This window comes from Homo sapiens, chromosome 1 (assembly GCF_000001405.40).
Source record: "Homo sapiens chromosome 1, GRCh38.p14 Primary Assembly".
In the NCBI taxonomy this organism is placed as follows: Eukaryota; Metazoa; Chordata; class Mammalia; order Primates; family Hominidae; genus Homo; species Homo sapiens.
Genome location: NC_000001.11, coordinates 244,034,465 through 244,048,464, shown reverse-complemented (window position 1 = coordinate 244,048,464; position 14,000 = coordinate 244,034,465). Strand labels below are relative to the sequence as shown.

The window sequence follows — 14,000 nt, the reverse complement described above, 5'->3', positions numbered from 1 at the left end:
GCGCTCCCCGCCCGCCCCCAGCCCTCAGACTCCTCCAATGGGAAGGCGGCTCTTCGGGAAGGCGGAGGGGGTGGTGGGCAGTCGTCGGACTGACAAGGGGGCCCAGCCAATGGGGGTGGCGAGCCGTAGCTGCCCTCCCGCGCGTTCCAATCGCAGGCAGCAACTGTTGGGGTGGGCGGGGCTCGGGCGGGCGGGGATCCGGAGCGAAGCGGCGCGGGGCGGAGTCCTCGGGCGCAGCGGCGGTGGCAGCAGCGGCGCCCCTCTGGGTGACTTGGCCGTGAGAAAGTGAAAGGAGCCCGCAGGCGGCGGCGACAGCTGCGCTGGGAGGGGCTTGTTTCCAGGCTCAGAGGCCCCGCGCACTCTGCGGGTGCGGAGCGAGCTTTTCGGTGTGCACTGTGACAACCACAAACACACTTTTGAACGTAGTGGGGCTTGGCTGCTGCGAGTTACGCAGGTATCCTGGAGAGGCAGGGCACCCGGGGACACGGATGACTCGAGGCCGACTTCGGGTGGCTCTCTCTGCTCCTTCCTGTGGGGGTGAAGACGCCCGGGTCCTCGCCGGCCCGTGCGCAGGGGAGCGGGACCGAGGAGCGCTCTCGCTCCGTCCTGCGGCGTCCCGCGCCCAGGTGCACATCGGGGAGCTGGGGACGCAGGCGACTCAGGCAGTTTCTGGGAGTCGTTCTTACGTCATCATGTCACGGGCAGAACAGGGCAGAGCGCCCGCCTTTCTCGCAAAACCCTCCTGTCCCTTGTGTACTTACACTGTTACAAGTAAAGACTTCCCCAAGTGACCAAATTTTAGAGCATTACAGTAAAATTGGTACTTGCAGATGCCTCAGCTTGATTCCTTAATTGATACGTATCTAGCCACAACTTTAAACTACCGAGGGACGATGTAAGACTGCTGTGTCGCTTTTCTTTCCTTCAAATAAACTTTTACTCGGTACCTGTTCTTGGCAATTAGACTGCGTTAATCACAGCCACAAAGACGTGGAAATGTCTGCCGTCAAGAAATTGGAAATCGTATCGAGGCAAGAATTACAAGTAAAAAGTTGAATAACAAGTGGTGGGGGAGGGGGAATGGCTGAAGAAAATAAAATAGAAAAAAAAAAACAACTTCATAGTGAGGAAGTCAGTCCACTAGTCATTGTCTAATGAAATGTGTTTATTCTTTGCTAACAGAACCCAGACTGGCAAGCCTGTTGCTAACCAACCTGCCAGGAGACCTTTCAACTGGGCAAAATGTGCTTTCACTTTGTTCCAGGTCAAATGGGTAAAGTAGCTGGAAAGTATTGTGTGGGCAAATCAGACATGTTGAATTGCTAATGAAGTAAAAACAGGAGCAGACAGAATTCCTGGAACTGAAATAGCTTCGAGATATCTGGTTAGAAACAGTAGTGATGTGCCTACTTTTTTCTCAACCCTCTACGCCCTCATGATTCATCACTGAGGTCAAGGATATCCTATGAAAATTGGAGTTTTTGTATTCCATGAAGGCTTTTGTTGTATCTGTGCTGTCGATGAATTCTAGGTCTTTTCAGTCTAGTGGTAGAAGGCCCAATTTCAGTCTGACCTGTTTCAAGGTAAGGAATAAATGTTATTCACGAATGAAATATACAGGCACACAAAATGAGATGTGAAAAGTATATGTTTCACCAACTAATTCAGGGAAAAAGAAATGTTTGCGTTATCAAAGCTGTTTCTCATCTACTAAAAGTTAAAATTAAGGAGAGTGACAGATCTCTACATGAGTAGACAGAAAGTAATTGATAGTGTCAGGATATTAATTCATGAAAATATTAGTACACTCGGATTATCTACAAAAAGCTTAGAAACTCAGCTGTACTGCATCTAAAGCCAAGGCATAGCTCTAACAAAATGTTTTATAGAATGTACCTGCAAGTAGAGTAACAGCCCCAAAGATATGGAGGAGACATTGATACATCAAAAATTGTAACCTGTGTGTGTATGTGTGTGTGTGTGTATTGTGTTTCCCTTACAGTCATTACTAGAATCCATTTTGGGAACTGAGCAGTGTGGCCAGGAAATATAGATTAAATGGATATTTAAGGAAGCAAATCTGTTGCCCCTCAGTTGCTACAACCATTTTATCCAGAGTCCCCTAGTGTGACTGTCTTTTATGCCCTTTTTTTCACATTTAAATAAATTGTTTTTACTCTCTTGTCTTAAACTGTTTTATAAACTTATCGTACAGATGATACTTTCAATCCTTTGGAAAGTTATCACCATGAAAATTGTGAGTAAAAGTAGGCTGATATCGGAGGAGTCATAATACAGAATGAGTAGTATTTTTATTTAATACCCATTGGAACCCTGGAAGGTAATAAGTCAAAGTCTGAATATCCGCCTCAAGTAAGCACCTCAAAGTAGGGTGTTTACCACTATATAACAGGCTGAGCAAATTACCAAGACACACAGCTACTTGACACCTGTCGAGTTTGTCGGTTTTTTTGTTTGTTTTTTAGCTAATAATCTATACTTCTCCCCAGCCCCCCATAGTGGGGGAGAAAAGGGCAAAAAGTATACATTCTAAGCTCTTGGGAAAAGATACCATACTTTCTTTCTGGAGGAATCCAGTCCTGTATAGTTCTAGTTAATCCATACTTTTCTAGGTGTCCTGAAATTAAAAGTGATACAAATGAATCTTTCTTGCCAGGGAACAAGTTTTATGTGCTAATAACATATTCATTTCAACTAATAACAATGTAATAGTATAAAATGTTGATGGATCAAATAAAATTTAATTTGATGAGCAACTCCATAAAATGAATGTCTGACCTTTAAGTGTGAACCACAGCTCAAATCTCTGAAAAACCTCAGTGTTTTTATTACACTTTATGCAATAGGTCATATTGAAAAAGTTATCTTGGAAACTAGTTTTTGGATATTGATATTTTATAAATGTATTAATTTCCTACAGGAATGGAATGTTTCTTTAAAAATTAGGGAGGCAAGCAACAGTAAAATACTAGGTGTTTGAAGGTATTATATTGATAATATAATAACTATAAAATCTAACAAAACGTAAGTAGAGGTCAACCTGATTTTGAACCTAGAGAGAAAAAATACACTAAACTGGGAAGTGTGTTCAAGCTTCTATGAAGCCCACTCACTTTCAATATTAGAGCATACATGGAACTCTATGAACTTACTTAGTTTTTTTTCTCTCTGTCTCATCTCTCTTCTGGCATTTAGAAATGAACAGGTTGATATGCTCTAAAGGGAAAAGGAAACACTGAAACACAGTTGAGACAGTGATTTAAAAAAAAGTAAATGAACAAACCAGAACACACATCACAACACATTAAGGAGAGTGACAGATCTCTACATGAGTAGACAGAAAGTAATTGATAGTGTCAGGATATTAAACAATTCATGAAAATATTAGTACACTCGGATTATCTACAAAAAGCTTAGAAACTCAGCTGTACTGCATCTAAAGCCAAGGCATAGCTCTAACAAAATGTTTTATAGAATGTACCTGCAAGTAGAGTAACAGCCCCAAAGATATGGAGGAGACATTGATACATCAAAAACTGTAACCTGTGTGTTTTTTTTACAGACAGAATGAAGTGAACAGGGAGCATATTTTATATAGCATCATTCTTAAAATACATATTTTACGTATTTATAATTCTCTATAATACAGTCTAATCTTATCTGTAAAATATATTTATAATTCTGCAAAGCACTTTCTATGTCAAATCATTCCCTGGGTTATAAATTCTGTGATACTTGAATCTATTAAATTCCTAAACTATGGTAAGCCCTAAATTGGAGATAATTCAGCCTGATTCTCAGCCCTGAAGATAGAAATAATGTCATAAACTCTTGAGAAGTCCTTAGCAGATTTGCAGCAGGCATTGGTGGTATGCCAATGAAAGCAGAATGAACCTACACCAGTGATTCAAACCTGCTGAGGCTTAAGGGCAGAGGGGAGCAAAGGATAGTCTCCCTAAAACTCTTTTTCCTGTGTAGCCAGTGTTTTGTTGCTTACTGTAAATCAGTGCTTTTACAGACAGCATAATGGCTGAAGGAGGCCAATACTTCTGGCTTGGTTGGGACTAAGACAGGCCACTTCAGAGAATTTAGGAAAAAAGCAAAGAGGTGTTTCAGTAGCCACCCAACTCACAACCCTCTTCTCATTCTCTCTCCCCCCTCTATCTCCTCCAGTCTCCCCATAAAATACATTATACGTTACAGCATATGGAAGAAAAAAATGCACACAATGATGGCTTTTCTTGTTAACTTTGTACTATAAATATATTCATCATTCACTTTGTATATAATCCCAGGCCACTTTTGAACCCCAGGCTGGCTGGCTTCCTTGCTACACAGGATGCCTTTGTATCATTCACTGGTGGGAGTTTAATCAGTTAAAAATTATTTAAAGGCTATCCTAAACAAAACAAATTTCTAAAGGCAAGTCTACCATCCTTAAGAATCACATGCCTTCAAATACCAGATGTTGGAGTTAATCTGTGGGGTTGAAGGCTGCATTACTTTGGATAATTAAAAGATACACTCGTTTCATCTGTGGGCTTTTTAAGATTTACCATTTAAAATAACCCAACTAAACATGTGACTTCCAGATGAGTAAATTCTACTAAAGAAAGATTTAATATGAACCTATGATATTCAGAACCCCTTCTTCAATGATGGAAGTCTTCAGGGGTATCAATTGTGCTAAAATGTTGTACAATATTAGTAAATAGAAGTTGTTTTATTCAAAATGAGAGGATAAGACTTCTAAATATTTGAATGCTAATATTCTCACTTGTATTACATTGCTTAAATTGGAGTTTGTAGAAATTCGGGTTGCAAATGAACTTAGAAAAGTTGAAATGAACAGAACAAGAGAGGTTACCAGGTAATATTGATGCCTCACACCTACTGTGTGTTAGCTGCTGTGCTTCGGACGCAAAGATACAAATAGCGTCTGTCTGTCTGTCTGCATTCTCCTCCAGGGAGAGATTTTTCCTTTCCTTTTGTGCTTGCTTCACTCTTGAATGCAGCACCTTCTTGGATTTAAACAAGCAGAAAGGAAAATGATACATCTAGAAATTATTTACTAAGAACTTAGTATATGTTAGAGAAACACGAAACTGCATTATCATGGTTCTTGTTAAGTTTCCACCATGTGCTGGGTGCCAACAATACATGAAATAATATCATTCCCTCTTATATCTTCATTATGTATATATAAATGTCATTGTGAATCCACTGGACAAAGATGAGATTTCATTTTTCTTTCAGAGACTAATATGTTGCTGATGCCTAATAAGTGTTTACCAATCTTAACTACTGTAACAAGATAAAATTGTCTTAATACAACTCTTTGGTTATAAAGAAATTCTATAAATTTAACACAAAAGTCTTGATACATACCAAATTCAAACTATTCCCGGTAATAAGAGCAGACAGAAGGTTAAATTTCACTCCAGAAATTTACTTCGCCCTTAGCAATAACATGCAACTCAGGAAGTTACTTCTCTTACAAAGAACTAGCATTTATGCCTAAGACTAAAATGATTATTTTTAAAGTACCCATTTTACAATGCAAATGTGTATCTAAATTAAACTCAGTAAAAATAAGCATTTTAAATTGAAGCTGCAGTAATAGCTTTATGGGAGACAATAGGAAAAGTGGTTCTTGAATATGAACTCAGAGAACACACATTTCACATTCCTTCTAGGGGCCTTGAAGCTTTCTTTGTTCTCTGTCTCTGTACATAAATGTCACATGTTTTAACTGAAAACCCATTGCTCTGAAGTAACTTTACACAACTGAGGCTGTTCAGCAAGGTCATGGCAAAAAAAAAAAGTTTGGGTTCAGAAAAAGAAATTGGACTCACAACTGGTGTACAATGCCACGCCGTACCTTAGCACTTGGGATATGGGACAGATGCAGGAACACAGGCTCACTAAAACAGACAGTGACAAGAGACTGCATAACAAAGACACATGCACAATAGGGCATTTTAGAGACAAATGACAGACAGAGTAGAGCAATATATGGGACAACAGCTTTACAGGGATGGGAGGGCTGTAAAGAATGGTGAGAAGATGGTGACAGTGTAGAAGAAGGATAACGGAAGAGAGGTAAAGAGAAGGAAAGATCCCACTGGGAAGTGGTCTATGGTAGAGGCCATGGTGGTGGCAATGGTGCTGGCAGAGTTGGTGGTGGCAGCAGCAAGGTAAATAAAGCAGAGATGTGAATACTTCTTCCTGGGCTCTGCTGATGTATGCCACTATTTTTTGTCTTGCAAATTATTCTTAAATAATACTTCATGAAATAGCTGGCCCCAAAGTAAAGAAGACTAGAATATACTCAGTTGATTTTGCCAAGAGAGCACTTGATAAAAGAATAAAGAATTTTAAAAAAATAATGTAGACTATACTCAGTATTTAACTCTTTCCAGACATGAGGTTGCTACGATCAGGGCAAGGCGTGTGTGTGTGTGTGTGTGTGTGTGTGTGTACTCACATGCACACTCATATACCTAAGTTACTAGTTTGGCTGGTTTTTCTGGTAAGATTGGCTTAATATGAACTAGATTTTTCTTAATAGAGATAAGAATTTCATAGCACATTCATTGCGTAGTTTTAGGTTGACCTTATAGGGAAATTGTAGGTATGTATTGACATTTCATTGAGTAATTTGAACTATTTGTTAACCTAACTAATCACATTTCAGAAATAAATTCATTCCTTCAACAGCCACTGAATCCCTATCATGCATCAGGCCTGGTTGGAATTACATCAGCCTCTGTACAAAACATCTGGCCTGGCTCATAACCAGATGCACGAACTAGCATTGGAAGGAAACACTCTTGAACTACTTTGATAAAGTGAACCAGGAAAATTCCCATTATCAAAGATACCCACCTATTTTTTGTTTCCTATCTTCCTTGGTGGGATGTAAGCTTCCTCAGGATGGGGACTCTTCTATGATAATAGCTGTATCCTTAGCACCTAGAATGGTGCTTGGCACATAATACGCATTCAAGAAATAGTCTAGAAAGGGAGGGAGGGAGAGAACAGAAGGAAAGAAGGGAGAGGGCAGAAGAGAAGGAAAAGAAAGGGGAAGGCGGGGAAAAGGGAAGGGAGATAATGAAAAGAAATAACTTACACCTTTGCATTTTTCCAAGGCCAGCGGGATTAGCAATGCTTTACATGTTCAACTGCTCCCTTTAAACTTGGGATGAAGGACAGCTTATTATGTAGACTACCAGAAAAGCATCTATTTACTTTTTGGGGGTGCACTCTGACCCAACCTAGAAATATCCCAGATGGATGTGGTAGAGACTTTACTCCTGGGAGAAGCATAGCGATTCTTTAGGATATAGAAGAGATGTTTCATCCTTGAGGCATTTTAGAGGTGAGTTATTCCTCAAACATCGCTTATAGGCATAAGATGTGTTGTTATTTTCATTACTTGGAGGAGAATGTTGAAATGGAATGGCTAAGTGACTTGTCCAAGGCCCCAAATTAAGATTGGTGAGTTGCAGAGCTAGTTCATCAACAATTCACTAAGTCATTTTTCTTCAGATATTTAGGCCACTCTGAAATCAAAAGAAAAAACTCCATTGTTTTTAAACAAATTAGAATCTGCCATGCTTTGAAAACACATAGTCATTTGGGTGTTTATCCTTGAGGATACATCCATGATCTCAATCGAACCACATAAACAAGCTAAAAATATAATGAAAGGAATTATTCCTGACTTTTCAAGTGTAGCTTCAACTACAGACATATGCTATTGGTGGATATAAACGAAGATACCTCCAAGCAAGAAATGTTTTCCCTTTCTGTAGGTCCTATTAAGACAGTAGGGTCCTAGTAGCAGTAAATTTGGTGCAGAGGAACTGATAAAATTATATATTTGGGTGCATCCGGTGACTATGAGAGAGAAAAGATTATATTTTCATTTGCATGGTTTGCTGGGTTTTATTTGGCAGATATAATAACACAGGCTACGCAGAACCCATAAAACAAAGTGAGAACAGCAGCTCATTTGGTGGCAGAATGTAATGGTTGTAGCTAAAGGGCTTACATAATTCATCTCAAACCCTTATGCCTTTATTTATTGTTGTTTAAATGAAAATTAAACTCTTACGGCCATAAGGAGGGATCTGGTCAGACATTTGATTGAGATCCCTTCTTCTTACATAGCTTCTGAGATGATCAGTCTGTGACATTTACAAACAGCTACAGAAATATTCTAGAATGAACATACTTTACCTAAGCATGCTAGGATGTCATTCTTCAAATCCTGCTTTCCTAAACAACTCTAAAACTCCCACAGAATGAGAGTGAGTGGAGAGGGAGGCCCTGTTTGTCATTCTGCCTTGGAATTTCTAGTTCAACTCAGGGCAGTTGTAGGCTATGGTTAAGAGTTAATGTTTAGTATCAGATAATATTTGGTATAATACTTTAGCAGGAGGTGGGGACTAGAGGAACAACACAAAGGAAGGACTGAGGCATGTGATATTGGCCCAGACCACTTCACACAAGTATAATGTCTTTTAGTATTATTTAAAGTATTCATATTATATCATATTGTTAAAAGAATATTTTTAAGGTCATGTTTTTTTATCACTTTATTCTTATGTTAGAAGAGTGGAAATTTTGACTGTCAACTGTGCATACTCTATGGATTTTGCTATTTGGGGGGAGGAATTTTTTTTTTTTTTAGAGACTCAGACTTGAAATATAGTTTGTTAAAGAGAAATCTGTACTGTATTATTAAATGTACATCTGGATAAGTTTTAAAATATCAATGATTATCACACCAATTTAGAGAAAATGGAATGATGTGGCTTAAAACAGGTGTGTAAAATATCATTACATTTTTATTTTCTGCAGATCTCATGGAGGTAACTAACAGATATAATATTAATATATAAACATATAATGTTAATTAAAGTTAATATTAATGCTAGATACAAAAGTTTAGTATTATGGGGCTATTGGAATATTTGGAATTAAATTAGTCTTAAAAGTGATAAATTAACTCTTAATCATTTTTTTAAATGACCAACATACCCTCTCTATACAAGTTAAATAGGTATGAAAATAAATAAATACATATGCCCTAAATTTTATCCGCCATGAGCAAATACACATGTGGCTATTTTGGAAACTGGGTTATCTCTTTTGATTTTAGAACTTCTTCATTATTTTTAGGTAAGTCAATATGGATATTAAAGTGATTAGCTCAAACTTTCCAAATTTGAAAATTTTATGCCATTCAGGCTATTACTGTATACATACATGAACCAATTTTGGAAGGAAAGAGAAATACAACAAGAAAGTTATTTTAAACCATAATTTAATGCAAGTAAATAACTCATTTTCTAAATAATGAGATAATTGACAGAATTCATTCTGCTTTGGTAGTAAGCCCAAGCAGTTTGTGTGCATGAAAAAGAGAGAGAGAAAGCATGAGAAAGAGAGAAAGAGGAAGCAAAGCTTTAATTGTATATTCCTCAAGTTTAATAGGAATAAACTATGAGCAAAAAAAAATCAAGGAACATTAAAAATCAAATAGACTACTATACATTTCCACTTGAAACAAAAATGTTCTTTTCATATATGATAGTCTTGCATATTTACTCTGCTCAGGGAGATGTTTCTTAGCTAGCTCATATTCATCTTTCAATCAGCTGGTTTGATGGCCTTCCACAGGCTGCAGGGAAGATCTGACAAGTGGAAAGAAAAAAAGGCAAGCAAACCCTGATGAAGAGAATTTCAGAAAGAAAGAAAAGAAAAGATCCAAAGGGTTGGGGGGAAGAATGGAAGAAACCAAATAAAATTAGACAATGTTTTAGAAATAAAACAATTATACTAGTTTTCAGTTAGTTCATTTTCCCCCATGCATATTTTGTTTAACTGGAAATGTGTTCTATTATTTTAACTTTTTAAAAAATCTGCCTTCACTAAACTAAAAGCAAGGGACCTAATACGTGATAAAGATGAATATTCAGTAGCTAAAATCTTGATAGCCAAAGGAGGCTGTGCTACTGGCTGTCCCTCCACGAAGAAGTCTGTGGACTTCTGAAGCAAGAGAGTACCAAGAGAACAAATATTTGTTTTCTTTCAAAGACAATCCAGCATGAGGAAGCATCGCTTTCAGAATCGCCTATTATCTTATCAAGGCAACTAGATGTTAGTTTGGTCAGAGTGAATATCCAGCTTCTATTATGCTGAATGAGAGAATGGAATGATTTCTGTTTCACCCCCACCTTCAAGCCACATATCTCCAAAGCTCACCTCCAGCCCAAATGTTTTTCTTTATGCTTTTTACTTCTGAGTTCTTAAAGCGTGTTATTACTATTATTTATTTTTAGTGTTGCAATCTCCAGCAGTCCTTATTTTCACTCAAAATTACAATACAGGGGACTATGGCCAATGCTATGCAGATGGCCAAATAGATAATAAAGACTCAGTTCATGAATAATATCCACTCAGAAAGAGGACAAAAGCAACAGGAAAAAAGAGCCCAAATTGGACAAAATGTGCGTGCTATATTTAAAAAAAAACACACGCGATCATTGTCAGAGATCATTAAGGGTGCCCTGTAGTTTTAATTATATGCCAGTGGCACCAATTTGATGTGACTGTTTGCTCTTATAGTCAATAAAAAAAGTCATAACTGCCATCAAATTTAAATTTAATTTATTTTCTACACAGCCTTTTCTGTTTTCCTTGTTTTTTTTTCTTTTATAACATGAACACTTTTTTGTTAAAAAATGTGTGAAAGATTAATTTGTAGAATGAGGGTGCACAGCACAGGACAGATGGAGCGGGTGGGACATGACAGTTTTCGTCTGTGGCATCATTTTGTTGTTGCTATTGCAAGTGAGCAAAATAAAGCTACTGCTACCGCGATCATTTTTTGGGGGGCCCCTCAGAGAAGGTGTGTGGCTTTTCCCTCTTGCTGGGCCCTGCTGTTTGGGGACGCAGCCACCCTCTACCCTCCACAGCCAGCCGACTTATGAACAGTGTTCATAAGCCCGAGAGCACTTTAATTGTAAAATTGCATTTCTATACAATTGCACCCGACTTTTGTATAAAGCAGAATGAAACACACTTTTTCTTGGTAAGCTGACTGTGTTGAAATGAATTAATGATCTATTCTCTCTGAGATCCTGTAATGTAAACCCAAACGCATGAAACTCTAGATGCAGAAAAGAATTAATTTTTTTTTTTGGCACAAGACAAACATTCTCACATTCAAGGGGATTTTTTTTTAATTTATCAAAAATGACGACGTGCAAGTTTCAATTTTTTGCTTTGGAACAGCCCTAATTTACACATAAGTATTGTAGGAGTTTGCTATTGTAAAGGTTCTTATTGAAGAATAAAGCAATTACCACAGAAAATCACTGTCATATGGCACACACAGACATTCCGAGAAAAAGTAAAACTTTGAGAAGAAGGAAAAGGGGAATTCAGGACAGCATGTGGGAGGGAAGATGGGAGTTCTTTTTATGCACAAAGAGATCCATTAACAATATCTTTATCAGTTTCCTTCTTCCTTGTTAACTGAACCAACTTCCAGTGCCCAGAATATGCGAACGTGATTGCAAATAAATGACTGGGGTGGCAGGGGGATGAGTGAGTGCACATGAAGAGGGTTGGTGGTTAATTCATGGCAAGACACGATTTGCCTGAAAACAAAACCCAAAAAACCTTTGCCTCAAACTAGTTCAGCTTTTATAGTGAGGCAAGGTGGTCTGCAACAATATGTCAGCAGCCACGAATCCCCCACGATTCTTAATTCTCCTACAGTCACGAGGCCGCCTCGGCCTGGACATCAGTGGTTTCTTGTGGATAGGGTATTTGGTATTCCAGTCATTTTATATGATAACGTTATTTTCCGAATTAGACTGTAGGCCTTCCCAGGGAGGGATTGTGTCTCCGAGCAGAGCACGCTGTATAAAGCGGTGCTCCCCAAACGTGCGTTGTTTGGCAAAGCGGCTCTGTGGGGACCCTGGATACCGATCATCAGGGCCATGCTGATGATTCGAATCATGGCATCGTGATTCGAATCATGGGCTTTGGGGGCAGACCATGTGCAGTTGGCGTCAGGTTGCCCCTCGCTATGTAGCTGTACTTTAACTTAGGCAAGCCTTAGTTTGCACTTCCGTAAAAACAGGCATGACGATGATAGCATGCTCTTTAATTATAGGGTTAGTGGGAAATTAAGAGATAGTCCTTTGTGAAGCGTTTAGACAGTGTAAAATGTAAACCATTTAGCCCTAGTTTTCTAGAGGTCACTTTTTGGATGCTTCCAACACCTGATCGCTGAATGTACTGAAAATCCTAAATCTTTGGTATGAAACGTTCCTTATTCTGTTATATTAGGGGGGTAGTAGCATGGACAAATACAATGTTGGAGTGTACCCAGATAGGTGGGTGGGGAATGAGGGAGAAGGATAGATACGATTTTAAAACAAAATAATATAATATTACATGGGGGTGGGGCATGGTCCTTGATGTCATAGAAAATAGGGAGGAAATTTGGTGTATGTATTATGTGCCTGTGAAATAGAGTACACAGGAAACATGATAAAGAAAGGTATCTACCACACATCCAATGTAAAGAGAGTTATCTGTTTTATATTTATTCTAACAGAATGTCTCCACAATTCTATAAAGTAGGAGGCACTATAGAAATGGAAGGTATTAGCAAGTTCTTGCGATTCGCTCAAACACATGCACTGACATAAACAGACTCAGAATAGGGAATATCCATCTCTAAGTCCAATGCGATGAGCACAATACTTGCCGTGCTTACATTGAAACAATAGCAGAGCGTGTTATACTGACACATGCATGTAATTACTTACAGCCATGAATCACTTAATGACAGGTATACGTGCTGAGAAATGCATCGTTAGGCAATTTTGTCATCGTGTAAACAACATAGACTGCACTCACACAGACCTAGATGCGATAACCTACTACACACCTAGGCTATAAGGTGTAGTAGCCTGTTGCTCCTAGACTAAAAATCTGTGCAGCTTGTTACTACGCTGAATAGCGTAAGCAATTGTAACACAATGGTAAGTGTCTGTGTTTCTAAACATAAAAAAAAGTACAGTAAAAATAAGGAATAAAAGATATAAAATGGCGCACCAGTATAGGAGACGTACCATGAATGGAGCTTGCAGGACTGGAAGTTGCTCTGGGTGAGTCAGTGGGTGAGGGCAGGTCAATGCGAAGGCCTAGAACGTCACTGTCCACTACTGTAGACCTTCTGTGAACATGGTACGTACACTTAGGCTACACTAAATTTATTTAAAAATTTTTTTTCACTAGTAAATTAACCTTAGCTTACAGTCACTTTTTTACTTTGTAAACTTTTCAATTTTTTAAAAACTTTTTGTCTCTTTTGGGATAACACTTAGCTTAAAACATAAACATATTTATTGTACAGCTGTACAAAAAATATTTCTATCCATATTCTATGAGCTTTTTTCTATTTTTAAAATTCGTTTTTTACTTTTTAAACTTTTTTGTGAAACGCTGAGATGCAAAGACACACATTAACCTAGGTCTACACAGGGTCAGGATCATCCATGTCACATCATCTTTCACTGGAAGGTCTTCGGGGCAGTAACACACGTGGAGCTGTCATCTCCTGTGATAACGGTGCCTTCTTCTAGAACACCTACTGAAGGACTGACCTGAGGCTGTTTTGCAGTTAACTTTTTTTTAAAAAAATAAGTAGAAGGAGTACACTCTAAAATATAATAATAAAAGTATAGTGTAGTAAAAACATAAATCAATGACATCGTTGTTTAGTATCATTATCAAGTATTATTTATTGTACATAAATGCATGTACTGTACTTTTATACAACTGATAGCACAGGTAGGTTTGTTTATACCGACATCACTGGAAAAATGTGTAATGCATTGTGCTATGATGGTACAATGGCTGTGTCACTAAGTGATAGGAAGTTTTTA

The 14,000-nt window shown here is 38.3% G+C and overlaps 2 long non-coding RNA genes across 2 annotated transcripts in view, besides 2 other annotated features; one reads left to right on the top strand and one right to left on the bottom strand.

The window, feature by feature from the left end:
• Positions 94 to 213: a silencer, noted in NCBI's record as "silent region_2011". NCBI's record gives its function as "represses an Ori minimal core promoter by ATAC-STARR-seq in GM12878 lymphoblastoid cells {active_cell/tissue: GM12878}" and the evidence as "EXISTENCE:reporter gene assay evidence [ECO:0000049][PMID:35858748]".
• Positions 224 to 2,782, top strand: LOC124904570 (uncharacterized). The gene is made up of 2 exons (XR_007066975.1): positions 224 to 454; positions 868 to 2,782. It is a non-coding gene; the product is annotated as an uncharacterized LOC124904570 (long non-coding RNA).
• Positions 384 to 543: an enhancer, noted in NCBI's record as "active region_2831". NCBI's record gives its function as "activates an Ori minimal core promoter by ATAC-STARR-seq in GM12878 lymphoblastoid cells {active_cell/tissue: GM12878}" and the evidence as "EXISTENCE:reporter gene assay evidence [ECO:0000049][PMID:35858748]".
• The window catches only part of LINC02774 (long intergenic non-protein coding RNA 2774), a 129,916-nt gene continuing 117,063 nt past the window's right edge, over positions 1,148 to 14,000 (bottom strand). Inside the window, exons 9-12 of the long non-coding RNA NR_033883.1 lie at positions 6,910 to 7,038; positions 4,916 to 5,042; positions 3,174 to 3,237; positions 1,148 to 1,573 (exon numbers count right to left, since the gene is read on the bottom strand). This is a non-coding gene — a long non-coding RNA (long intergenic non-protein coding RNA 2774). The remainder of the gene's footprint in view (positions 1,574 to 3,173; positions 3,238 to 4,915; positions 5,043 to 6,909; positions 7,039 to 14,000) is intronic.